The sequence below is a fragment of the Homo sapiens genome, chromosome 12 (assembly GCF_000001405.40).
Source record: "Homo sapiens chromosome 12, GRCh38.p14 Primary Assembly".
Taxonomy (NCBI): Eukaryota; Metazoa; Chordata; class Mammalia; order Primates; family Hominidae; genus Homo; species Homo sapiens.
In genome coordinates, this window is record NC_000012.12 from 49420466 (window position 1) to 49447408 (window position 26943).

A 26943-nucleotide genomic window follows, 5' to 3' on the forward strand; every position below is an offset into this window, starting at 1 on the left:
CACCTGTAGTCTCAGCTACTTGGGAGGCTGAGGCAGGAGAATCGCTTGAACCTGGGAGGTGGAGGTTGCAGTGAGCCACTGCACTCCAGCCTGGGTGACGGGGCAAGACCCCATCTCAAAAAATAAAAATAAAAATAAATAAATAAAATGAACACATGTAAAAGATGTTATTTAATATATTAATTAAAGAACCAGTAAGAAGTTAAAATGGTTCAAAGGACAATTCAAAGTACCACACATACATAGGATCAAGAATGCTTAACATTTGGTAGGCGTGGTGGCTCACACCCATAATCCTAACACTTGGGAGGCCGAAGTGAAATGATCACTTGAGGCCAGGGGTTCAGGATCAGCCTAGTGAAACTCTGTCTCTACAAAGAAATAATAATTAGAAACAAAATTAGCCAGGTGCATTCTTGTAGTCCCATCTACTCCGGAGGCTGAGATGGGAGGATTACTTGAACTCAGGAATTAAAGGCTGCAGCAAGCTGTAATTGTACCACTGCACACAAGCCTGGGCCACAGAATGAGACCCTGATTCAAAAGGAAAAAAGAATGCTTGAAATTAATTTACAGACCAATCCAAAACTGGCTTTTTCCACCAGGAAAAATTGTTGCCCCTTACACTGATAGAATTTATTTGCACGTGTATACGTAAAAATTCTTTGCATTGGCCGGGTGCGGTGGCTAACGCCTATAATCCCAGCACTTTGGGAGGCCGAGGCGGGCGGATCATGAGGTCAGGAGTTCAAGACCAGCCTGGCCAACATAGCAAAAGCCCGTCTCTACTAAAAATACAAAAATTAGCTGGGCATGGTGGCGTGCGCCTGTAATCCCAGCTACATGGGAGGCTGAGGCAGGAGAATCTCTTGAACCTGGGAGGCAGAGGTTGTGGTGAGTGGAGATGACACCACTCACTCCAGCCTGGGCAACAGAGCAAGACTTTGTCTCAAAAAAAAAAAAAAAAAAAAAAAAAAACAACCTTTGCACTGCTACCACTTATCTACAATTTACAGTTGTAAAATAGCTCAAAGACCATGAGGGATACAAATCCCACAGAATCAGATAACTAGGAAGGGTACACATTATGCAATGCCTAGTTTCCATCGAAGATGCCTAATTCTGGTCCATTTTAAAGTCTAAAAGGTTTTCCCCTACATCATAAAAAGGTGAAGTAAACAGATCTGTGTTATCATTTTTGACAATAATCCAGTGTCTGTTAGTTTTAGGGCCTATTCATTTAAATAAAGTCAGTTTTGAAAACAAAGAAAAGTTACTCTTAGGTGGATATTTTCTGATATTTTGATTGACATTAGATACTTCCTCAGATTAGTGTTGAATTTGGACTATGTACGCTACCTAAACTGTAGCTTCAAATATTTGGGTAGCAAGTCCTGTAAGCTATCCAGTGCCTAATATTTTGTAGGTATTCATTTTTGTAAAGAACAATAATGATAATTTGAAGGGAGGTAAAACTCTTCTGCCCTATATTAGTCCTTAAATGTACATATAAATTCGTTGCAATTCAGGCAACTTCCTAATGTTAAATGCTTTTTACCTGGGTGGCTGAACTCAGGGAGCAGAGGGCACAGAGTTGGCATTATCTGCTCTAATTTCATGCTGTGTGATTTTAACTGGGCCTTTGCTGCTTTATGATCTTTTTATTCATCTCATATTTATTCTCTAGCACATTCCTGATGTTGATATAGCAGAAAGAAATATAATTTGTAGTTTCATGGAGCTAGGTTTGAATCACCACCTCACCACTTACCAGCTCTTTGTTCTTGGGAAACTCGCAAACCTCAAGTTCTTCAGTTAAATGAATGATAAGTACTTCACAGAATTACATGACATGTATGTAATGGATGTTACAGTGGCTGGCACATAGTAGGCAGTAAATGTTAGTTTCTTATCTGTTCCTCTCAAGCCCTCAAGCCTTCCTGCTTTTTTTTCCTTCTGTTTCCATAACTAAAAAGTTGCAGTCATTTGGTATGACCTCCTTAATCTTCCCTCTAGTTATTTTTGTCTTTTTGTTTGTTTCAGAAGTATGTTTCTTTTACCTAACAGAGTTTTTGTGAAGATTTTTGATAATGCATATAAAATTGCATTATTAGTATAGTTCCTGGCCTATAGTAAGCATTCAATAAAGATTAGGGTTGGCATGGTGGCTCACGCCTGTAATCCCAGCACTTTGGGAGGCCAAGATGGGCAGACCGCTTGAACTTGAGCTCCGGAGTTCGAGATCAGCCTGCGCAAGGCAACATTGTGAAACCCCATCTCTACAAAAGATACAAAAACTAGCTGCATGTGGTGGCGTGTGCTTGTATTCCCAGCTACTCAGGAGGCTTAGGTAGGAGAATCGTTTGAGCCCAGGAGATGGAGGTTACAGTGAGCCAAGACCGTGCCACAGCACTCCAGCCTGGGAAACAGAACCAGACCCTATTTAAAAAAAAAAAAAAATTTTTTTAATTGACTGTGACTATGTGAATGTAAGATTAATTTGGTCTTTGATTACCTTTGTATGTTGCTCCTCCCTTATTTTCTACTCCAATAAGTATTACCTTTCTCTGTTTTATGTTTTATGTCCTCATCCCTTTTCAAAGAAAAAAGTCTTCCCTATTTGGGGGAAAACCCCTTTTGCTTTGCCTTGCTAGCACTCTGGTTAATACTGTTTTTGTTTTTTTTTTTTGAGATGAAGTCTCTGTTGCCCAGGCTGGAGTGCAGTGGTGCGATCTCGGCTCACTGCAGTGTCTGCCTCATGGGTTCAAGCGATTCTCCTGCCTCAGCCTCCCGAGTAGCCAGGACTACAGGCACGCACCACCACACCAGATAATTTTTGTAGTTTTAGTAGAGACAGGGTTTCCCCATGTTGGCCAGGCTGGTCTCGAACTCCTGACCTCAAGTGATCCTCCTGCCTTGATCTCCCACAGTGCTAGGATTACGGGCGTGAGCCACCGCGCCTGGCCTAATACTCTATTTTTTAAAATCCCTTTATTGTCAAACAGTTGAATAGTTAAGTGGCTTGGTCCCCACTTTTCCACAACCTGCTCTCATATTGAAGCCTCCTTGCATTCTGATATACCATAATTCTTCCATGAAACTGAAAGAGCATCATCCTCCCACCCAAACTCTCACAAAGCTTAGAAAATTATAAGCATTCAATGAATATTAGTTGAATAATGAATGAAATGAGAAAGTTTAAAGTTCTATCACTGAGAGTCCTCTGATGCTTTCAATCAATGGATTTAAAGAAACCCTGTAAGTAACTGTCGTACCCAAATTCACCTAAATGGATGTTGTTGTGTAACATGAATTTTATTGTTTTTTTCTGAGAAACCTATGATTTATATCAGAGTCAGGGAAGGCATTTTAAATATTATGTTACGGAGAAAAGTTTAACTCTGAGGGCAAATTTATTAGTAAAAATCTCTTGTTTTTTCTATTAAGAGAACTCAGACCAGGCGCAGTGGCTCACTCCTGTAATCTCAGCACTTTGGGAGGCCAAGGCGGGCAAATCACTTGAGGTTAGGAGTTTGAGACCAGCCTGGCCAACATGGCGAAACTCCATTTCTACTAAAAATACAAAAATTAGCCAGGCATGGTGGTATGCGCCTGTAATCCCAGCTGCTCGGGAGGCTGAGGCAGGAGAATCACTTGAACCCGAGAGGTGGAGGTTGCAGTGAGCTGAGATCCTGCCACTGCACTCCAGCCTGGGCAACAGAACGGGACTCTGTCTCAAAACAAACAAACAAACAAACAAAAAAAACAAACTCAGACCATTATTTTTCTACTTCAGTGATACTCAGACCTTTGTTCCTCAGCCCCATGTAGTCCGTTCAGCAGCCATCTTCTTCTGAGACATCTGTGATATTAACCAGAACATACCTGCATAGGGAACCATGGTGCCCTTTTGATTAATGAGAATAGCTAATGTGGCCCCAGAGGCATATGCTTTTAAGCACAACAGTCTCAGCTTTGGTCAGTTTGATTTATCTTTTGTCATTATAATAGGTAGACTTGTTGACAGTTAGTATTTTTGTTTTATCTGTCTAGTAGATTGTATTAGTTTGCCAAAAGTTATTAGGGCAAAGTTTCTGTGATTATAGTTCTCTTATCTGTTACTATTATATCTTATATAGTGTTTACTGTTAATTGGGAAAGTTGATTAAAGCAGGAAATAAAAAATGATACATACGTACCATAGTATTTTTTATTTGTTTTGTTTGTTTGAGATGGAGTTTTGCTCTTTTGCCCAGCCTGGAGTGAAGTGGCGAGATCTTGGCTCACTGCAACCTCCGCCCCCCACCAGATTCAAGTGATTCTCCTGCCTCAGCCTCCCAAGTAGCTGGGATTACAGGCACCCACCACCACGCCCAGCTAATTTTTGTACTTTTAGTAGAGATGGGGTTTCGCCGTGTTGGCCAGGATGGTCTGGAACTCCTGACCTCGGATGATCCACTCCCGCTTGGCCTCCCAAAGTGCTGGGATAACAGGAGTGAGCCACCACACCTGGCCCATAGTATTTTATTTTAGCTTAAAACAAATGTACATTTATTCACCAATCTTTGATGTATTTAGTATGAGTTTGCTGATTAGAATTCTTCATATTTTTGGCATTAATTACACCCTGTGATACATTCTTGCAACTTCTATTTACGGTTTTTTTAAGCAGAGTGAGAACTCTTAGAGACTTGAAGCAATGAGTACAAACCCTTTTTTTAGATTTTTAATTTCCCTCCCAACTTGTATATGTGTCTCACCCACACTTAAATTGAGGACAGTTTTAAAAATAATTTGTATTGGTTCAGTCTTCTAGAGCCTTCTGTTTAGTTTTTAAAGAAATAATTTTTCTTATAGTTTATTGATGTATTTACTTTTGTTTTTCTTTTCTTTTTTGTAGACAGGGTCTCACTCTGTTGCAGAGGCTGAAGTGCAGTGGTGCTATCACAGCTCAGGTGATCCTCCTACCTTAGCCTCCCGAGTAGCTGGGACTACAGGCGTGTGCCATCGTGCCTGGCTAATTTTTACATTTTTTATAGAGATGGGGTATTGCTATGTTGCCCAGGCTCGTCTCGAACTCCTGGGATCAAGCGATCCATCTACCTTGGCCTCCCAAAGTGCTGGGATTACAGGCATGAGCCACCACGTCCGGCCATGTAAGTGTTAATATTTCTGTCTTTTTTGAGACGGAGTCTTCTCTGTTGCCCAGGCTGGAGTGCAGTGGCACGATCTCAGCTCACTGCATCCTCTGCCTCCCAGGTTCAAGCAATTCTCCTGCCTCAGCCTCCCAAGTAGCTGGGATTACAGGCGCATGCCACCATACCCAGCTAATTTTTTTGTATTTTTAGTAGAGACGGGGGTTTCACCACGTTGGCCAGGCTGGTCTCGAACTCCTGACCTCAAGCGATCTGCCTGCCTTGGCCTCCCAAAGTGCTGGGATTACAGGTGTCAGCCACCATGCCCAGCCAGTATTAATATTTCATGACAATTATGTAATTGTAATTATGAGCACAACTGGCATTAAGTAGGTTTGAGAACAACAAATAGATTAGACTCTTAGTAAGTATTGCATAGTGGGAAGAGAAAAGCCTGCGTGTACGCCAGTGTTGCCTTTTAGCCTACCAGTGTTCATTTAGGGGTGTTAGTCAATTCATGCTAAGGGTAATGGATAGCATCAGTTAAACTGTGAAGGTAAGAGGTAAAAGGACATCTTTAGTTTTTTTCTTTGTTTTTGGTAAACTTTTTTTTTTTTGATGTGTAATACACACAAAATGCAAAATCCTTAAGGGTACAACGTAATGAATTTTTACATTGAACACAGCCATATAACCACTATTCAGATCAGGATCCTAGAAGCCCTCCTGTGCTCTGACCCAGATTCTCTCCCTGACCAGTATTCTGATTTATATCACAAGACCAGTATTCTGACTTATGTCACAATAGATGAGATTTGTTCGATTATGAGGTTCATATAAATGGAAACATGCAGCATGCACTATTTTGCACCTGACATTCTTTGCTTAGCATTGCTTTTGAAATTCATCCTTGTTGTATCATCAGTAGCTCCTTTTTCATTGCTGTATCATATTCTTTTTTTTGAGACAGAGTCTCGCTGTCACCCAGGCTGGAGTGCAGTGGCGCCATCTTGGCTCACTGCAAGCTCCGCCTCCCGGGTACACGCCATTCTCCTGCCTCAGCCTCCCGAGTAGCTGGGACTACAGGCGCCCGCCACCTCGCCCAGCTAATTTTTTGTATTTTTAGTACAGACGGGGTTTCACTGTGTTAGCCAGGATGGTCTCGATCTCCTGACCTCGTGATCCTCCCGCCTCGGCCTCCCAAAGTGCTGGGATTACAGGCGTGAGCCACCGTGCCCAGCCTGTATCATATTCTATTCTGTGAATGTGTTACAATTTATCCATTCTGTAGTTGATTGATGTTTAGGTTTGTTTCTGGTTTTTGGACTTACAGATAATGCTGCTGTAAACATTCTTGTACATGTCTTTTAGTACACATTATAAATGCATTTGTGTTGGGTATTACTTAGGAGTGGACTGCTGGGTCATAGGGTGTGCTTATGTTCAGTTTTAGTAGATTTTGCTAAACAGATTTTTATACTCCCACTAGCAATATGTAAGAATCAGTTACTTCACATCCTCCTATGGCAAACAATAAAGTTTTTTAAAAGGTGAGGCTGGTCTCATTCCTGGGCTCAAGCAATCTGCCTGCCTCAGCCTCCCAAAGTAAACTTTTCAAAAAATAGTTATCAAATATATATGTGTGTCTAAATAATATATTGTTTTAGCATTAGTTGTATTTTTTATTAAAAAAGAATCTTATGTTGTATGTAATCTGGAATTTTCTACTTAACATTATATTGCTAAGATTAATCCATATCATTGCATATAGTTGACACATTTTTGCAGCAGTACAGACATTTAGTGAATACATCACAGTTTATTCTCTTGTTAATGGCATTTGGGTTGTTTCCATTTTCTTAACTGTTATGAATACTACGTGTTTTCTAATGTACCATGAGCAAGAATTTCTCTTGTACTTGAATTTCTGGATCATAGGATTGACAAGTGTACTACTTTACAAAATAATGCTGTATTCTAAAGAAGTTGTACCAGTTTACATTCCTACCAGAAATAAATAAGAAATGAAACCCTTTCTGTTATGAGAGAATTTTAAATTATGACCTCAATTTCTTTTAGAGTTACAGGACTATGTCAATTTTCCTTTTTTGTGTGTGAGTCTGTTTGGTAACTTGTTTTTCAAGAAATTTATTACCTAAATTTTCAAATGTATTGGCATAAGGTCATCTATATTTTTGACTTATAATTTTAATGTCTGTAAGATCTATACTAGCTCTTTAAAAACCTTCATGATATTGGTATTCTTTGCATTTTTACCCCTTGATCAGTATTTCTAGAGTCTTCTTGCTGGGTCAAGAAATCAACTTTTTCTTTCATTTTTTTTTTCTTATTGCATTAATTAAAAAAATTTCAGGCCGGGCGCGGTGGCTCATGCCTGTAATCCCAGCACTTTGGGAGGCCGAGGTGGGCGGATCACGAGGTCAGGAGATCGAGACCATCCTGGCTAACACGGTGAAACCCCGTCTCTACTAAAAATACAGAAAATTAGCCGGGCGCCATGGCAGGCGCCTGTAGTCCCAGCTACTTGGGAGGCTGAGGCAGGAGAATGGCGTGAACCCAGGAGGCGGAGCTTGCAGTGAGTCGAGATAGCGCCACTGCACTCCAGCCTGGGCTAAGGAGCGAGACCCCGTCTCAAAAAACAAACAAACAAACAAAAAAAAAAAACAAAAATTCAGTAGAATGCACATAACATGACGTTTACCATTTTAACCATTTTGAAGTGGTATTAATACACTCACATTCTTGTGCATCCATCTCCACAACTTTTCTCATTTTCCCAAACTGAAACTGTACCCATTAATCAGTAACTCTCATTCCCTCTTCCCCCTAGCCTCTGGCTGCTACCAGTCTACTTTTGGTAAAATTTGACTAGTCTAGGTGCCTCATATAAATGGAATGATATAGTATTTGTTTCTTTGTGACTGGCTTATTTCACTTAGCATAATATCCTCAAGGTTCATCCATGTTATAGCACCTGTCAGAATTTTCTTACTATTAAAGTCTGAATAATATTCCATCTTTCATAATTTTTTATCATCAGTATTGGCACATAGTAGGTTTATGTTAAATAACAGTTGATCAGTTAATTATTTTTTAAGTTAACAAGGTTTTTAGAAATTGCTTTTTCTATATGCTTGGAATCTCCCTTTATGGGTTAGAATCAGTGAATATAGTTGCTCCTAATTGCCTGGTTTTGTTTTTGCCTAATAGCTGCCTCCAATCCCTTGAGCTGCTTGCTGAGGACCGGAGTTTTATATGTGTGTGTAAGGGGGTGGTAATAAAATTATCAGTATTGTTTAAATCCGTTATGAAGAGTAATACAGCTGAGGATAATTTAGCTCAGTTGGGTTTGGGTTAGAGCCACCTGTGCGAGGAGGAGGGCGCAGACAGCTCTAACTACTGAGCTAGCAGTAAAATAGGAGGAGACAAACATGTATTCCAGCTCTGCTCCTTTTGAGCTCCCTCTACTCCCACATCTACAGCTGCTGCTGATGACTAATGTTAAGCAATTTGGAGGACCTTTTGTCTTTTAATAGTAGTAAAGAGGAGTTGTGGTATCATGTGGCTTCTGATTTCCCACTTAGAATGTCTTTTAAATTTCCAGAAATTCTATGTTGTTCCAATTTGAGGTTTCTTTTTTTTATTAAAAAAATTAATTGGTTTTTCAAAATGAAAACATTTTTTCAAAATAAAATTTATGGTGATCAAGTCTTACAATTATGGGAGAGTTTTTAGATTAAAGTAGAAAATTGGTGCCAGTGGTGCCAATTGTTGAGAAAGCGGACTTAGAGAAAGGTTTCATATTCACCATTTTGACCTGAGGAAATCCCCTTTTTAGTTCCTTTTTTGAGTCTCACTCTGTTACTCAGGCTGGAATGCAGTGGTGTGATCTCGGCTCACTGCAACCTCTGCCTCTGGGGTTCAAGCGATTCTCCTGCCTCAGCCTCCTGAGCAGCTAGGGTTACAAGCATGTGCCACCACGTACCCAGCTAATTTTTGTATTTTTATTTTTTTAGTAGAGACGGGGTTTCACCATGTTGGCCAGGCTGGTCTTGAACTCCTGACCTCAAGTGATCCACCAGCCTTCGCCTCCCAAAGTGCTGGGATTACAAGCATGAGCCACTGTGCCTGGCCTAGAATTTAGGTCTTTCTCTTCTTCTTCTTCTTTTTTTTTTTTTTTTGAGAGTCTCACTCTGTCACCCAGGCTGGAGTTCAGTGGCATGATCTCAGCTCACTGCAACCTCCGCCTCCTGGGTTCAAGTGATTCTCCTGCCTCAGCCTCCCAGGTAGCTGGGATTACAGGGACGCGCCATCACGCCCAGCTAATTTTTGTATTTTTAGTAGAGACAGGGTTTCACCATGTTGGCCAGGCTGGTCTTGAACTCCTGACCTCAAGTGATCTGCCTGCCTCAGCCTCCCAAAGTGCTGGGATTACAGGCATGAGCCACCATGCCCGGCCATCTTTTTCATATTTCTTGTTTTTTTTTTTTTTTTTTTGAGACAAAGTCTCACTCTGTCCCCCAGCCTGGAGTGCAGTGGTGTGATCTTGGCGCACTGCAAGGTCTGCCTCCCAGGTTCAAGCAGTTCTCCTGCCTCAGCCTCCCGAGTAGCTGGGATTACAGCACGCCACCGTGCCTGGCTAATTTTTGTATTATTTTTTAGTAGAGATGGTGTTTCACTATGTTGGCCAGGCTGGTCTCGAACCCCTGACCTGAAATGATCCGCCGACCTCGGCCTCCCAAAGTGCCGGGATTACAGGCGTGACCCACCATGCCTGGCATTTCATATTTCTTTATAAAGCTGATGAAAATGATATTTATTGGTAAACTGATTATATTATGGAATGAGAATTCCTGGTGACTTTCTTATAATTAAAACCCTTTAAAGATGAGAAGAATGTTTTTATTTGCAACCTCTCATTTTCTTGTTTTCCATCATTATCTGCAGGTGTAGTAGGTTAGCATTTATCTTCTTGACACATTTCATGAACCTGTTGATTGGGTTTCTGAGTTAGAATTATATTATTTAGATTCAAATGAAGGCTTTCAGCTTTGATTTAATTTACTGGGTAAGGGTCTTATTTATTTTTACTTTTTTGAAATAGAATCTCTCTCTGTCACCCAGGCTGGAGTGCAGTGGCACCATATGGGCTCATTTTAGCCTCCACCTCCTGGGTTCAAGCAATTCTCCTGCCTCAGCTCCTGAGTAGCTGGGACTACAGGCATGTGCCACCACACCTGGCTAATTTTTGTATTTTTAGTAGTGATGGAGTTTCACCATGTTGGCCGGGCTAATCTCGAACTCCTGACCTCAAATGATCCACCCGCCTCAGTGGGATTACAGGCATGAGCCACTGTGCCCAGCTGGGGTCTTTTTAAAAAGGGTGCGCTATTAATTTTTTTGAACAGATAAGATGTTTATATTATTCCAATGTCAAAATATAAAAAGGTAGACTGAAAAGTCTTTCTTACCCTAGTTTCCTATCTTTTCAGTTTCCATTCTTCAAGAGATCATCACTGCTACTAGTTTTTTGTCTATCCTTCCAGGTATACAGTTTTTATATATGTGCAAACCAGTGCAAATACATTACTTTCTCCATCATATTCACTTAATAAATATATAAAGAACTTTTTTTTTTTCTTTTTAAGGTGGAGCCTCGCTCTGTCGCCCAGGCTGGAGTGCAGTGGCGCGATCTTGGCTCACTGCAACCTCCGTCTTCTGGGTTCAAGTGATTCTCCTGCCCTGGCCTCCTGAGTAGCTGGGACTACAGGCACGCGCCACCACGCCCAGCTAATCTTTTGCTTTTTTAGTAGAGACGGGGTTTCACCGTGTTGGTCAGGCTGGTCTTGAACTCCCAACCTTGTGATCTGCCCGCCTCGGCTTCCCAAAGTGCTGGGAATTCAGGCATGAGCCACCGCACCGGGCCCAAAGAACTTTTCTCAAAAACATTTGCACAGTATTCTCATTATGTGGACAGATTACAATTAATTAAACCAGTGTCCTATTAATTGACAATTAGTTTGAATATTTTGCTCTTATAAATAATGTTGCATTGGATAACCTTGAATACATAGGTTTATACATTTGCAAACAGCCTTGCAAGGTAAATTCCTAGAAATTGTCTTGCTAGGGTGGGTGTGATAGCTCATGTTTGTAATCCCAGCACTTTGGGAGGCCGAGGCAGGAGGATCACTTGAGCTCAGCAGTTTGAGACCAGCATGAGCAACATATGAAACCCTGTGTTTACAAAAAATACAAGAATTAGCTAGGTGTGGTAGTGTGCACCTGTAGTCCCAGCTACTCGGGAGGATCGTTTGAACCTGGGAGGTTGAGGGTACAGTGAGCCTGGGCAACAAAACAAGACCTTGTCAAAAAAAACAAATTGTCTTCCTGGGTCAAATAATATATACATTTTTAATTTTGACAGCTACTGCTTAGTTGTCTTCCAAAGATACTGTATAAATTTACATTCTCACTTAGATGTGAGGGGCCTGTTTGTCCACACCTCAGTACCTGTGTGTTTTGTCATCATTTTGGATTTTTGCAAAAATGATGATAAAACACACAGGTGGCTGGGCGTGCTGGCTTATGCCTGTAATCCCAGCACTTGGGGAGGGTGAGGCAGGTGGATCATGGGTTCAGGAGTTCGAGACCAGCCTGGCCAACATAGTGAAACCCTGTCTCTACTAAAAATACAAAAATTAGCTGGGTGTGGTGGCAGGCGCCTGTAGTCCCAGCTACTGGGGACGCTGAGGCAGAAGAGTCACTTGAACCCAGGAGGCGGAGGTTTCAGTGAGCCAAGATAGCACCACTGCACTCCAGCCTGGGCGACAGAGTGAGACTCCGTCTCAAAATATATATACATATGTAAATGAAAGTTCAGGAGCGTTAAGTATATTCACATTGTTGTATAACAGATCGCCCAAAGTTTTTTTATCTTTGCAAAACTGAAATTCCATACCCATTAAATAACAACCCAGCCCCTGGCCCACCATTCTACTTTCTGTTTCTATGAGTTTGACTACTTTACCTCATATAAGTGGAATCATACAGTTTTTGTCTTTTTGCAACTGGCTTGTTTCAATTAGTGCATTGTCCTCAAGGTTCCTCCATGTTGTAGCATGTGACAGGATTTCCTTTTTTTTAAAGGCTGAATAATATTCTCTTGTATGTATATACCACATTTTATCTATTCATCCTTTGATAGACACCGGTTGCTTTCACCTCTTTTCTGAATAATGCTACCATGAACATGAGTACACAAATATCTCTTTGATATTCAGCTTTGAGATGTTTTGAATACGTATCCAGAGTTGGGAGTCCTGGATCATGTGGTAGTTCTAATTTTAATTTTTTGGGAACCTTTATACTGTTTTCCATAGTGGCCATTACCATTTTACATTCTTGCCAGCAGTACACAAGGGTTCCAATTTTTCCACATCTTTACTAATACTTATTTTATTTTCTGTTTTTGTTTTTACTTTGTTTTATTTTGGGTAGCAGCCATCCTAGTGGGTTCAAGGTGTTAACTCATTGTGTCTTGTTTTGTTTTGTTTTGTTTGAGACGGAGTCTCTCTGTCACACAGGCTGGAGTGCAGTTGCGTGATCTCAGCTCACTGCAACCTCCGCCTCCCAGGTTCAAGCGATTCTCCTGCTTCAGGCTCCCGAGTAGCTGGGACTACAGGTGTGCACCACCATGCCTGGCTAATTTTTGTATTTTTAGTAGAGACAGGGTTTCACCATGTTGGCCAGGCTGGTCTCGAACTCCTGACCTCAAGTGATCTGCCGACCTCGGCCTCCCAAAGTGCTGGGATTACAGGCGTAAGCCATTTCAACCTGACCCTGGTTTTGTTTTGCTTTTTTAAGAGCACATGAGCTCCTGATCATTGTGGTTTTGATTTGCATTTCTCTAATAATGAGTGATTGAGCATCTTTTCACGTGTTTGGTGACCATTTATTTATCTTCTCTGGAGAAATGCCTGTTTAACTCCTTTGCCTATTGTACAGTTGGGTTTTTGTTGTTGTTGTTGTTGTTGTGGATTTGCAGGAGTTCTTCATAAATTCTGGATATTAACCCTTTATAATAGATATATGACTTGCAAGTATTTTCTGCCATTTCATTGGTTGCCTTTTTACTTCATTGATTGCTTAGAAGTTTTAAGTTTAATGTAATCCCATTTGTCTATTACTGCTTTTTTGCGTGCACTTTTGCTGTCATATCTAAGAAATTGCCAAATCCTGCCTCATGAAGCTTTCCCCTTGTTTTCTTCTAGGAGTTTCATAGTTTTAGGTCTTACATTTGGTTCCTTATTTCTTTTTGAGTTAATTTTTGTGTATGGTGTAAGGTAACGGTCCAGCTTCATTCTTTTGCATGTAGATATCCAGTTTTCCCAACGTCATTTGTTGAAGAGACTGTCCTTTTCTCATCTAATGTTCTTGGCCCCTTTGTTGAAGATCTTTTGACCATATATGTGAGGATTTATTTCTGGGCTCTCTATTCTATTCCGTTAGTCTAAATGTATGTCTTTATGCCAGTACTACACTGTTTTGATCACTATAGCTTTGTAATATGTTTTGAAATCAAGAAATGTGAGGCCTCCAACTCCTTGTTTTTCTTTTTCAAGATTGGTTTGGCTATTTGGGATCTATTACTGAAGTTTAAATATATACATAACATAATATTTATCGTTTTAACCATTTGTATGTTGATGCCAAATTACTGGTATTAAATACATTCACAGTGTTGTGTAGTCATCACCACTGTCTAACCCAAAACTTATCATCACCCCAACAAAAACTTTGTATCCATTAAACAATAACTCCTCCTCCCCGCCAGCCCTTGGTAACCTCTATTCTGCTTTTTGTCTCTCTTGCTCATCTCCTTTTAATACATGTTCCCATTCCGATAAATATAAAAACTTTAGGCCCTCTTCTGTTGTGATTTGAAATGAAAAATAAGTATAAAGAACAATAAGAGTGATAAGTTGAGAACTACATGTCTGTTCTCTCATTTCTATACCTTGAGAGTCATTGAGCTGTACCCTCTGGTTCAGGAGTCATAGTACTAGGGATGTGGTCTGTGACCATATACTTCTTTAGAGCAAGGCTAACTTGAATATGGAATCTGGTTCATTGGTTTTCTTAGCTTTAAGCCCTAGCTCAGTGGGTACTAATCCCAGACTGACAGTTTCAAATCTTGTTTTATCATTTAGTAAGCAGTAACAAATTTATATAAAAACCCAGATTTAATAATTTTTATTTTCTTTTAATACATCCAGCCGTTATTATTTACTAGTATCCCCACATTTCAGGTTTTAATTTAATACAATATGGTATTTAATTAATATAATATAGTATTACATACATTTGTTCCCATTTGGGAAAATGCTTAACTGAATGGCTTTTTTTTTTTTTTTTTTTTTTGAGATGGAGTCTTGCTCTGTCTGTCGCCCAGGTTGGAGTGCAGTGGCGCAATCTCAGCTCACTGCAAGCTCCTCCTCCCGGGTTCACGCCATTCTCCTGCCTCAGCCTCCCAAGTAGCTGGGACTACAGGCGCCTGCCACCATACCCGGCTAATTTTTTGTATTTTTAGTAGAGGCGGGGTTTCACTGTTTTAGCCAGGATGGTCTCGATCTCCTGACCTCATGATCCGCCTGCCTCAGCCTTCCAAAGTGCTGGGATTACAGGCGTGAGCCACTGTGCCTGGCCTTTTTTTTTTTTAAAGATAAGGTCTAGCTTTGTCGCCCGGGCCAGAGTGCCATGGTATGATCTTGGCTTACTGCAGTTTGTCTCCTGGCCTCAAGCAATCTTCCTGCCTCAGCCTCCTCCTGAGTAGCTGGGACTACATGCACACGCCAGTGCGCCTGGCTAATTTTTGTATTTTTAGTAGGGACGGGGTTTTGCCATGATGGCCAGGCTGGTCTGGAACTCCTGAGCTCAAGTGATCCGCCCGCCTCAGCCTCCCAAAGTGCTAGGATAACAGGTGTGAGCCACCGTGCCCGGCTACTGAATGGTTTCTTTTTTTTTTTTTTTTTTTTTTTTTTAATTGATCATTCTTGGGTGTTTCTCGCAGAGGGGGATTTGGCAGGGTCACAGGACAATAGCGGAGGGAAGGTCAGCAGATAAGTGAACAAAGGTCTCTGGTTTTCCTAGGCAGAGGACCCTGCGGCCTTCCGCAGTGTTTGTGTCCCTGGGTACTTGAGATTAGGGAGTGGTGATGACTCTTAACGAGCATGCTGCCTTCAAGCATTTGTTTAACAAAGCACATCTTGCACCACCCTTAATCCATTCAACCCTGAGTGGACACAGCACATGTTTCAGAGAGCACAGGGTTGGGGGTAAGGTCACAGATCAACAGGATCCCAAGGCAGAAGAATTTTTCTTAGTACAGAACAAAATGAAAAGTCTCCCATGTCTACCTCTTTCTACACAGACATGGCAACCATCCGATTTCTCAATCTTTTCCCCACCTTTACCCCCTTTCTATTCCACAAAACCGCCATTGTCATCATGGCCCGTTCTCAATGAGCTGTTGAGTACACCTCCCAGACGGGGTGGTGGCCGGGCAGAGGGGCTCCTCACTTCCCAGTAGGGGCGGCCGGGCAGAGGCGCCCCTCACCTCCCGGACGGGGCGGCTGGCCGGGCGGGGGGCTGACCTCCCCACCTCCCTCCCGGATGGGGCGGCTGGCCGGGCAGAGGGGCTCCTCACTTCGCAGTAGGGGCGGCCGGGCAGAGGCGCCCCTCATCTCCCGGATGGGGCAGCTGGCCGGGTTGGGGGCTGACCCCCCCACCTCCCTCCCGGAGGGGGCGGCTGGCCGGGCAGAGGGGCTCCTCACTTCCCAGTAGGGGCGGCCAGGCAGAGGCGCCCCTTACCTCCCGGACGGGGCGGCTGGCCGGGCGGGGGGCTGACCCCCCCGCCTCCTGGCCGGGCGGGGGGCTGACCTCCCCACCTCCCTCCCGGACGGGGTGGCTGGCCGGGCCGGGGGCTGACCCCCCCACCTCCCTCCCGGACGGGGCGGCTGGCCGGGCAGAGGGGCTCCTCTCTTCCCAGTAGGGGCGGCCGGGCAGAGGCGCCCCTCACCTCCCGGATGGGGCGGCTGGCCGGGCGGGGGGCTGACCCCCCCACATCCTTCCCGGACAGGGCGGCTGGCCGGGCAGAGGGGCTCCTCACTTCCCAGTAGGGGCGGCCGGGCAGAGGCGCCCCTCACCTCCTGGACGGGGCGGCTGTCCGGGCGGGGGGCTGACCCCCCCACCTCCCTCCCGGACGGGGCGGCTGGCCGGGCGGGGGGATGACCCCCCCACCTCCCTCCCGGATGGGGCGGCTGGCCGGGCAGGGGGCTAACCCCCCCACCTCCATTCCGGACTGGGGCGGCTGGCCGGGCGGGGGGCTGACCCCCACCTCCCTCCCAGACGGGGTGGCTGCCGGGTGGAGACGCTCCTCACTTCCCAGACGGAGTGGCTGCCGGGCGGAGGGGCTCCTCACTTTTCAGACGGTGTGGCTGCCGGGTGGAGGGGCTCCTCACTTCTCAGACGGGGCGGTTGCCAGGCAGAGGGTCTCCTCACTTCTCAGACGGGGCGGCCGGGCAGAGACGCTCCTCACATCCCAGACGGGGCGGCAGGGCAGAGGCGCTCCCCACATCTCAGACGATGGGCGGCCTGGCAGAGACGCTCCTCACTTCCTAGATGGGATGGCGGCCGGGCAGAGACGCTCCTCACTTTCCAGACTGGGCAGCCAGGCAGAGAGGCTCCTCACATCCCAGACGATGGGCGGCCAGGCAGAGACGCTCCTCACTTCCCAGACGGGGTGGTGGCCGGGCAGAGGCTGCAATCTCAGCACTTTGGGGGGCCAAGGCAGGCAGCTGGGAGGTGGAGGTTGTAGCGAGCCGAGATCACGCCACTGCACTCCAGCCTGGGCACCATTGAGCACTGAGTGAACGCGACTCCGTCTGCCATCCCGGCACCTCGGGAGGCCAAGGCTGGCGGATCACTCGCGGTTAGGAGCTGGAGACCAGCCCGGCCAACACAGCGAAACCCCGTCTCCACCAAAAAAATACGAAAACCAGTCAGGCATGGCGGCGCGCGCCTGCAATCGCAGGCACTGGGCAGGCTGAGGCAGGAGAATCAGGCAGGGAGGTTGCAGTGAGCCGAGATGGCAGCAGTACAGTCCAGCTTTGGCTCGGCATCAGGGGGAGACCGTGGAAAAAGAGGGAGAGGGAGACCGTGGGGAGAGGGAGAGGGAGAGGGAGAGGAGGGAGAGGGAGCTGAATGGTTTCTTATGTACAAATGACTAGTCAAGAATATGCTTTGAAGTTTTTTCCCTAGATTTTACATAAAAAAATTAAAAAGCTTTCAAGTTGTTTTTTATGCAGTAAAATGTACAAATCTTAAGGGTAATCAGTGAATTTTTACATATGTTGTACCCATGTAATTACCACCCAGATCAAGATGTAGAACATTTCCCCACCAAGACAGTTCCCTGATGTCTTTTCTCAGAGGAACACTGTCCCTCCAGAGGTAACCAATATTCTAACTTCTATCACTGATATTATTTTTGCCTGTTCTTGTACTTGATATAAACAGAATCCTATAGTATGTACTCTTTGGGTCTGACTTCTTTGTTTAACAATGCCTATGAGATATAGCTATGTTGTATGTAGCAGTGTTTCTTTTTTCAGTGTTTCTTTTTTATTAGTAGTTTTTAATTATATCAATATACCACAATTAGTCTATTCATCTTCTTGTTACCAGATTGGGCTATTATGAATAAAGCTGCTGTTAATATTCTTATTTGTAGCCATATGTACTTATTTCTTTTGGGTGTATGTCTAGGAGTGAAGTTGCTGGGTCATAAGATGGGCATATATTTAAATTTATTAGCAAATTCCAGATAGTTTTCCAAAGTTATTTTTCCATTCTACGTTCCCATGAGCAATATTTGAGAATCTAGTTGGTCCACATCCTGACCAAACTTGGTATTGTCTATTTTTAAAAAATTTTAGCCTTTCCTGTGTGTGTTTAATTTTTATTTTGCATCTTGCCGATGAGCAATAATGTTAAGTCTCTCCTCAAATTTTAAGTATAACATATACAGCAAAATGCACACATTTAAGTGTATGGCTTAATGAATTATTTATTACCTTGTTATATAACCCTCATGATCAGGAGTACTCTTCATTCATTCATTCATTCATTCAGTCAGCCAGCTAATTTACTGTCTATCTGCTATGTGCCCGGTATAGTTCTAGGCCTAGGGATACAAGAATTATCAAGATAATCAAAGGCTCTGTCCTCATGGAGTCCAAGTTCTTGTCCTCAAGTTTACATCCTATTGAGGGAGATAGACAATAAATAAATACAGAATATAATGCTAGATAGTAACAGTTGTAGAAAAAAATGTAGAAAAACACAGGGTAAAGGAATAGGAGTGGCAGGGGCTGCTGTATGTAGGATGATTAGAGAAGGAATCTCTGAGGAGATGACATTTGAACAAAGAGAGAGAACGATTCATGTGAATCTAGGAGAAGAGCATTCCAGGCAGACAGAATGGCAAGTTCAAAGGCCTTGAAGTGGTAGGTGCTTGGCTTGCTTGAGGCATGGCAGGTATTAGCTGAAGTGCATTGAGCAAGGGGTGATGCTGGGGGAGGAAGTTACCAGTTCCAGGGGCCAGGTCAGGTAGGGCTTGCTGGTCATGGGGAGCACTGAAGGGTTTTGAGTAGAGGAGTGACATGATCTGAGTTGTTTTTTCTTAAAAAACTGGCTTCTGTGTGAAAAATAGACTACATTAACAAGAGAAGCAGGGAACTCAGGAAGCTATGATAATAGCACAAGCTGTAAAAATCACGATGGCTTGGACTAGAGTGGTAACAGTGGAATGGCGAGAAGCAGTTGGATTTGGAGAATAGTTAGAACTTGCTGATCGTTTGGTTGTGGTATCTGAGGAAAATAGAGGAGTCAAGGATAATTACAGGGCTTTTGGCTTGAGCAGTTGGGTGAGTGGTTAGTACCACATACTGAGAAGGTGAAGACTTGGGAAAGTGTATGCTTTGGGTGATGAATAAAATCAGGAGTTCAGGTTTGGAGACATTCAGTTGAAATTCCTTCCCACCTTAGCAGTCATCCCTTCTGTTCAGGTATCCACTGATGCTGGGAATGTGCATTATTTGTTTCTTTTTCTTACTACTGCCAGGAACACCTGGCGTCTTTGCCCTTTCCTATGTCTTTACGCTGACATTAGTTTCCTGAGATTCCATTTTCATTTCTTTGCTACGAGAGCAAAGAGGAGTTTCCACTTATGTTGTAGAAGTTTCATCAGGATAAGTTAAGTTCCTGATACCCCAAGTTAAATTTAGAATATGTTTATGCAGCAATAGGTTTTTAACTTTTGGACATAATTTCAAACTTACTGAAAAGTTACGAGAATAATACAAAGAACTCTCTGATATGCTTTCTTTAGCACCAAATGTTAACATCTTGTCACGTTTGCTTTATCATTATTTCTCTCCATATTCATGTTATTGTTGTTTTCTGAGCCATTTGAGAGAGTAGGCTGTAGACTTCATGTTCCTCTATCCCTAAATATTGCAGCATGTATTTCCTAATCACAAAGTCATTCTCTAACATAAACCTGAAGAGTCAAAGTCCAGGAACTGAAATGTTGATATAATAGTGTATTTCCTGATGTACAGCTCCTTATTTCCATCTAGCCAGTTGTCCCATTCATGTCCCTTACAGCAGCCTCTTTTCTCCCGCTCTTAAGATCTAATCCAGGACCATGCATTATATTTAGTTATCATGTCTTCAGTCTCTAATCTGAAGCAGTTCTTCAATTTTTCGTTGAATTTCATGGCATTAATTTTTTTTTTTTTTTTGAGATGGAGCTCACTCCATCACCAGGCTGCAGTGCAGTGGTGCGATCTTGGCTCACTGCAACTTCCACCTCCCGAGTTCAAGCGATTCTTCTGCCTCAGCCTCCCGAGTAGCTGGGACGACAGGCGCACACCACCACGGCCAGCTAATTTTTGTGTTTTTAGTAGAGACGGGGTTTCACCATGTTAGCCAGGATGGTCTCGATCTCTTGACCTTGTGATTTGCCTGCCTCGGCCTCCCAGAGTGCTGGGATTACAGGCATGAGCCACTGTGCCTGGCCAATATTTTTTAATAAATACAGGCCAGTTGTTGGCAGATTGTCCTTCAATTTGTTTGGTGTTTCCTTATGATTAGATTCAGATTATGCAGTTTTGGCAGGAATACTATTGTAAATGATGTGTCTTTCTCAGTTAAGTATTTCAGGAGCCACATGATGTTCATTTGCCTTATTAATAGTGCTAATAACTTTGGTCACTTGGTTAAGGTGGTTTTTGCCAGGTTTCTCCACTTAAAAGTTTCCTCCTTCTCAAATACATTTTGTTTTTCAAAAAATTTATTTAACAACTGCTTAGATGGTGTTTGCTATGTACAAGCACTATTCTAAGTGCATTATAGATATTAATTTCTTTAAATAGTGTAATAAATGATCATCGTTTTCTAATTGGGCTACAGTGTATCTTATACCTTTCTATTTCCTTCTTACTGCTACATTCCTCACTCAAGCCCTCTTCAACTCTGGCTTGGATTAGTACTTATTTCTAAGTAATAGTACCTCTTTCCTAAGTTAATTGTTCTGTTTTTTAAATCTGCTATTTATCAAATTGCAGTTGTATTCTCAAGTACCATAATCCATCAAGTATCTCTTCTCGTTCAGATCTTCAATCTTTATTTCTCCTTGTTGGTTTCTGCCCTCTTTCCTAAAAACATGTTCCTTCAATCCTAAAAATAGCTTCCTATTTTCTCCTTAAGTGGGCTGTCTTCCCCCTCTTTTAGAAAGAGAAGTAGATATGTTCTTTTCTTCTACTTCTTTATTAGTCCACTTAACATCAATCTGACTTTCTTTCACAACTCTAGTGAATCTCTTTACCAATTTCCTTTCAAAATCCAATTACCTTTTTTCTTTCATAGTTGAGATTTTATTGGTTGTACTGAAGATCAGTACACAGACATTCAGTTGTACACAATTCTTAACGTATGTACCGAAAATCTAAAAAGCCATGTGTTACAATTCTGTTTTAAACAGTTATTTGCAGTGACTTAAAATTTGGAGGCAAATTTTCCTTAAGAGGATATCAAGTTCCAGTATCTTCAGATGTTGATAAGCCGTTAGGTAAGTCTTACCAATTCACAACTTAATATCATATACACAACATATGCAAATTTTTCACCTTTCACAGCACATTAACAAAATTACTAGGAAAACAGAGCTACCATGACCAAAGATGTTACAGAGCGCACACAATTCTGACAGGGAGAGCCATGACCAGGAGTGGTTTTCTTCAGGAAACAATTCTACGAAAAAACAACATGGTAATGGAAATAATTTAAAATGTTCAAGAATTGAATGCACAACTCTGACTCCACATTGCCATTGAGTATTGCCATTGCTTTTGTATTATAGGATATAAAAACTACCTGCCCAGCTGACACCCAAGATAGTCAAAGCTTTCCATAATTCAGTATCCCACATTATCTTCTGTTGTACCAAAAAATAACAAGCAAATAATTGTACCTCTTACAAAAAATCACTTACACTTAATAAATGGGACAATGTGGGAGTCCCTCCTACAATGTGGGATTCCCTCCTTCTAAAATGTTTCTAGAGCTACTATAAAACACATTTAAAAAATAGTTGATAAAAATATTTCTCTGGATTGTGCAAGAAGGGAGACTAGGACCACGGATAAGACAGGGTATTTGATATTAATCAAACTAGGCTTCTTTCTCTCTTGCTGCGTTGGAGGCTGAACCCTCCTCGTTTGTCGTTTCTCCATTTTCTGCAGGTAAATCTTAGTTTCTTGGTTAGCTACTTTGTCCTGTTTTCCCTTTGCTACCAGTTTTGCTTTTTGTTTGTGCTTTTTTGTCTGAAGATTTATCCTTTCCTGCTGTCTTTTTTGGCTTCGTTTCCCCCTTTGCAGGAGCAAGTTTAGGTGACAACCTTGTGGATAGAGATGGAATCTCACTGTGTTGATTAGGCTGAGGTGGGAGGATTGCTTGAGTCCAGGAGTTTGAGGTGGCAGTGAGCTATGATTGTGCCACTGCCCTCCAGTCTGGGCAACAGAGAGAGACCATGTCTCCTTAAAAAAAAAAAAAAAAAAAAAAAAAAAAAAAAAAAATTACATTCACCATTATCACCATTCATGTCCAGAACTCTTCATTTTGCAAAACTAAAACTCTTTATTCATTAAACATCCTCACTCTCTCCTTTCCCTCCAGCCCCCAGCAACTACCATTCTGCTTCCTGTCTCTATGAATTTGACTAGCTTAGGTATCTCACATAAGTGGAATCCTTACAACATTTGTCCTTTTGTGACTGGCTTATTCTATTAGCATCTGTCCTTAAGGTTCATCCTTGTAGCATGTGTCAGAATTTCCTTCCTCTTTAAGGCCGAATAATATTCCATTGTATGTATATACTTTATTTTGTTTAACCATTTGTCTGCTGATAGACATTTAGGTGCTCCACCTCTTGGCTATTGTGAATAATGCTGCAGTGAACATAGGTGTGCAGATATCTCTGAGACTCTACTTTCATTGCTTTTGCATTTTGAGCTAATTTTTTATGTGGTAGTGTATATTCTTTTGTATGTGGATATTCAGTTATCCCAGCACCATTTGTTGAAAAGATTATTCTTTCCCTGTTGAATTTTCTTGTCACCTTTGTTGAAAATAAATTGACCATAAATGTGAGGATTCTTGTCTATACTTTCACTTCTATTCTATTGATCTATATGCCTGTTCTTATTGCTGATACCATAAGGTGCATGTTGTTTTTTGAAGTATGAAAAGTCTTAAATTTGAATTCTAGCTTTTTTTTTTCTTTTATAGATTGTATGGTTTGTGCTTTTGAAGAACTCTCACTAAAAAAAAATCATGACCTTCCTCTTATGTTTTTTCTAGGGTTTTACAGTTTTAGCCATTTGGGTCTGTGATCCATTTTGAGTTAATTTTTATATATAGTATGAGGTAAAAGTCTGAGTTCATTTTTATGTATTTGGAAGTCCAGTTGTCCCAATACTATTTGTTGAAAAGACTCTCTTTTCCCTATTGAATATCTCTAGTGCCTTTGTTGAAAATCAGTTGTCCATAGATATGAAGGTTTATTTTTGGATTCTCAATTTTGTGCCCATTGATATGTGTGCCTATTCTTATGACAGTACCACACTGTCTTCATGACTGTAGCTTTATAGTAAGTTTTGAAATCAGGTAGTGGAAGTCCTCCAAAATTTTCAAAATTGTTTTGGCAATTCTGGTTTCTTTGAATTTCCATATAAATTTTATGATCAGCTTGTCAGTTTCTACAAAAATGCTTGCTGAAATTTTAATAGGGACTGTATTACGCTTATAAATTAAATTGGGAGAATATGAATGTTCCAGTTCATGAATATGGAATGTGTCTCTATTCATTTAGATCTTTAATTTCTTTCTCTCAACTATGTTTTCTAATTTTCAGAGTATGAGATTTGTACATCTGTTATTTTTATTCCTAAGTATTTAAGTTTTGTTGTTGTTTTTTTTTTTTTAAGAGACAGGGTCTTCCTCTGTCACCCAGGCTGGTGCAGTGGCATGATCATAGCTCACTGCAGCCTCAAACTCCTGGGCTCAAGTGATCTTCCTGCTTCAGCCTGCCTCCTGTGAGTAGCTGGGACTGTAGTTGCACGTCATTGTGCCCAGCTAATTTAAATTTTTTTTTGTAGAAATGGGGTCTCGCTTTTTTCCCCAGGGTGGTCTTGAACTCCTGGGCTAAAGCAGTCCTCTTGCCTCAGCCTCCCAAAGTGCTTGGATTATAGGTGTGAGCCATTACACCCAGCCTTAATTCGTGATGCTATTGTGAATGTAATTTTTTGTTAATTTTATTTTTGGATTGTTTATTGCTAGTATATAGATATACCATTACTTGCTTTCTATTTTTTTGAGATGGAGTTTCGCTCTAGTTGTCCAGGCTGGAGTGCAATGGTGTGATCTCGGCTCACTGCAACCTCTGCCTCCCAGGTTCAAGCGATTCTCCTGTCTCAGCCTGCTGAGTAGCTGGGATTACAGGTGCTCGCCACCACGCCCAGCTAGTTTTTGTATTTTTAGTAGAGATGGGGTTTCACCATGTTGGCCAGGCCAGTCTTGAACTCCTGATCTCTGGTGATCCACCGGCCTCAGCCTCCCAAAGTGCAGGGATTACAGGTGTCAGCCACTGCACCCAGCCAGATACCATTACTTTTTGTATATTGGTTTAATTATTAGACCTTGCTGAACTAATGTTTTAGTCCTTAGCAGTATTTTTGGTGTGTGTGTATATGTGTTTGGATTCCTTAGGATTTTCTGTATATGGGTCATATTATCTTTGAATAAAAACATGTTACTTCTTCCTTTCCAATTGTGATGCCTTTACTTTCTTTTCTTTTCTTTCATCCTTATTGCACTGACAAGATCTTTCAGTATGTTGTTGAAAACAAGTGATGAGGTGTGCATTCTTGTTTTTTCTTATCTAAGGAAGAAAATATTTTGTGTTTTATTATGGAGTATGATATTAGTTGTAGGTTTTTCATAGATGGCCTTTATAAAGGTGAGAACATTTCCCCTTTTTTAAAAACCATGAATGGGTATGGGTGCGTGAAAATGCTTTTTCTGTACCTACTGAGATGATCATGTGACTTTTATCATTTATTTGATTGATACTGTGTGTTACATTAATTGGTTTTTGCATGTTAAGCCAATCTTCCATTCCTGGAATAAGTCCCACTTGGTCATGGTATTACAATTGTTTTCTATGTTGCTGAATTTGGCTTGCATATATATATATATATTTATTTTCTTTTCTTTATCTTTTCTCTTTTTGAGACAGCGTCTCACTTTGTCACCCAGGCTGGAGTGTAGTGGCGCGATCTTGGGTCACTGCAGCCTCAACCTCCCAGGTTCAAGTGATCCTACTCCCTCAGCCTCCCAAGTAGCTGGGACTGCAGGTGTGTGTCACCACACCTGGCTAATTTTTAAAAATGTTTTTTGTAGAAATGGAGTTTCACAGTGTTGCCCAGGCTGGTCAAGACTCCTGAGCTCAAGTGATCTGCCTGCCTCGGCCTCCCAAAGTGCTAGGATTATAGACAGGCGTGAGCCATCGTGCCTGGCCTGGCTTGCTAATATTTTGTTAATGATGTATTTCTCCTATATTTATGAGGAATGTTGATCTGTAGTGTTTTTTTGGTTTGTTTTTGTTTTTGTTTTTTTGAGACAGAGTCGCACTCTGTAGCCCAAGCTGGAGTGCATTGATGCAATCTCAGCCCACTGCAACCTCTGCCTCCTGGGCTCAAGTGATTTTTTGCCTCAGCCTCCTGAGTAGGTGGGACTACAGGCACGCGCCACCACACCCAGATAATTTTTGTATTTTTAGTAGAGATGGGGTTTCACCATGTTGCCCAAGGTGGTCTCGAACTCCTGAGCTCAGGTGATCTGCCCGCCTTGACCTCCCAAAGTGCTGGGATTGCAGGTGTGAGCCACCACACCCAGCCTGATCTGTAGTTTTCTAGTGATGTCTTTGTCTGGTTGCAGTATCAGGGAAACATGGATTTTTTTAGTTTTCCATTGCTGCTGTAACAAATTACCACAAACTTAATGACTTAAAGCAACATGCATGTCTCATCTCAGTTTCTGTAGGTCAGATGTTGGGCACAATGTGGCTCAGATGGTTCTCTACAAGGTTGAAACCAAGGCAAGGCTTTGTTCCTTTCAGGAAGCTCTAGTGAAGCATTCATTTTCAGGCTCACTCAGGCTGTTGGCAGAATGCAGTTCCATGTGGCTGTAGGACTGAGGTTCCCAGTTCCTTCCTGGCTGTTGGCCTGGGATTCTTCTCAGCTTCTAGAGGCTGTCTGCATTTCCTAGCCTCCTGGCCCCCTTCAAAGCCAGTTACAGCAGGTTAGGTTCCTCTTGCTTCAAATCTGTCTTTCCCCTTTGCCACATCTCTGTGATGCATCTTTCTTAGCTCTAGCCAGAGAAATTTCTCCCGTCTTAAGGGCTCATGCGATTAGATTGGGCCCATCCAGATAATCCAGACTAATCTCCTTATTTTAAGGTCTGTGACATTAATTACATCTGCAAAGTCCCTTCGTAGCAGTACATAGATTATGTTTGATTGAATAATTAGGGGACAGGAATCTTGGGGAGATATCTTTAGAATTCTGCCTGCTACACAGGCCTCATAGAATTAATTAGAGAATGTTCTTCTATTTTCTTTTCTTTTCTTTTTTTTTTTTTTGAGACACAGTCTTACTCTGTCGCCCAGGCTGGGGTGCAATGGCACGATCTCGGCTCACTGCAACCTCCGCCTCCTGGGTTCAAGCAGTTCTCCTGCTTCAGCCTCCCAAGTAGCTAGGATTACAAGTGCCTGCCACCATGCCCGGCTAAGTTTTTGTATTTTTAGTAGAGACAGGGTTTTGCCATATTGGCCAGGCTGGTCTTGAACTCCTGATTTCAGGTGATCCACCCGCCTTGGCCTCCCAGAGTGCTGGGATTACAGGCATGAACCACTGCACCCAGACTGTTCTTCTATTTTCTTTTTCTTTTTTTGAGACAGAGTCTCGCTTTGTCCCCAGGTTGGAGTGCAGTGGTGCAATCTCGGCTCACTGCAACCTCCGCCTCCTGGGTTCAAGCGATTCTCTTGCCTCAGCCTCCCAAGTAGCTGGGACTACAGGTGCGCACCACCATGCCTGGCTAATTT

General features: G+C 42.3%; 1 protein-coding gene across 17 annotated transcripts in view, besides 1 other annotated feature; it reads left to right on the forward strand.

Moving 5' to 3' along the window:
- Nucleotides 1-26943, forward strand: part of SPATS2 (spermatogenesis associated serine rich 2) — a 160574-nt gene that overhangs the window by 53614 nt on the left and 80017 nt on the right. For 6 of the 17 annotated variants that reach the window (XM_047429407.1, XM_047429405.1, XM_047429408.1 and 3 more), the window contains one exon: nucleotides 21265-21351. The exons of the other annotated variants lie outside the window; for them this stretch is intronic. The gene's annotated coding sequence lies outside the window, so the exon portion shown is untranslated. The remainder of the gene's footprint in view (nucleotides 1-21264; nucleotides 21352-26943) is intronic. 17 annotated transcript variants of the gene reach the window in all.
- Nucleotides 8381-8675: a silencer, noted in NCBI's record as "tiled region #14813; K562 Repressive non-DNase unmatched - State 8:EnhW". NCBI's record gives its function as "represses a minimal TATA promoter and a strong SV40 promoter by Sharpr-MPRA in K562 cells {active_cell/tissue: K562}" and the evidence as "EXISTENCE:reporter gene assay evidence [ECO:0000049][PMID:27701403]".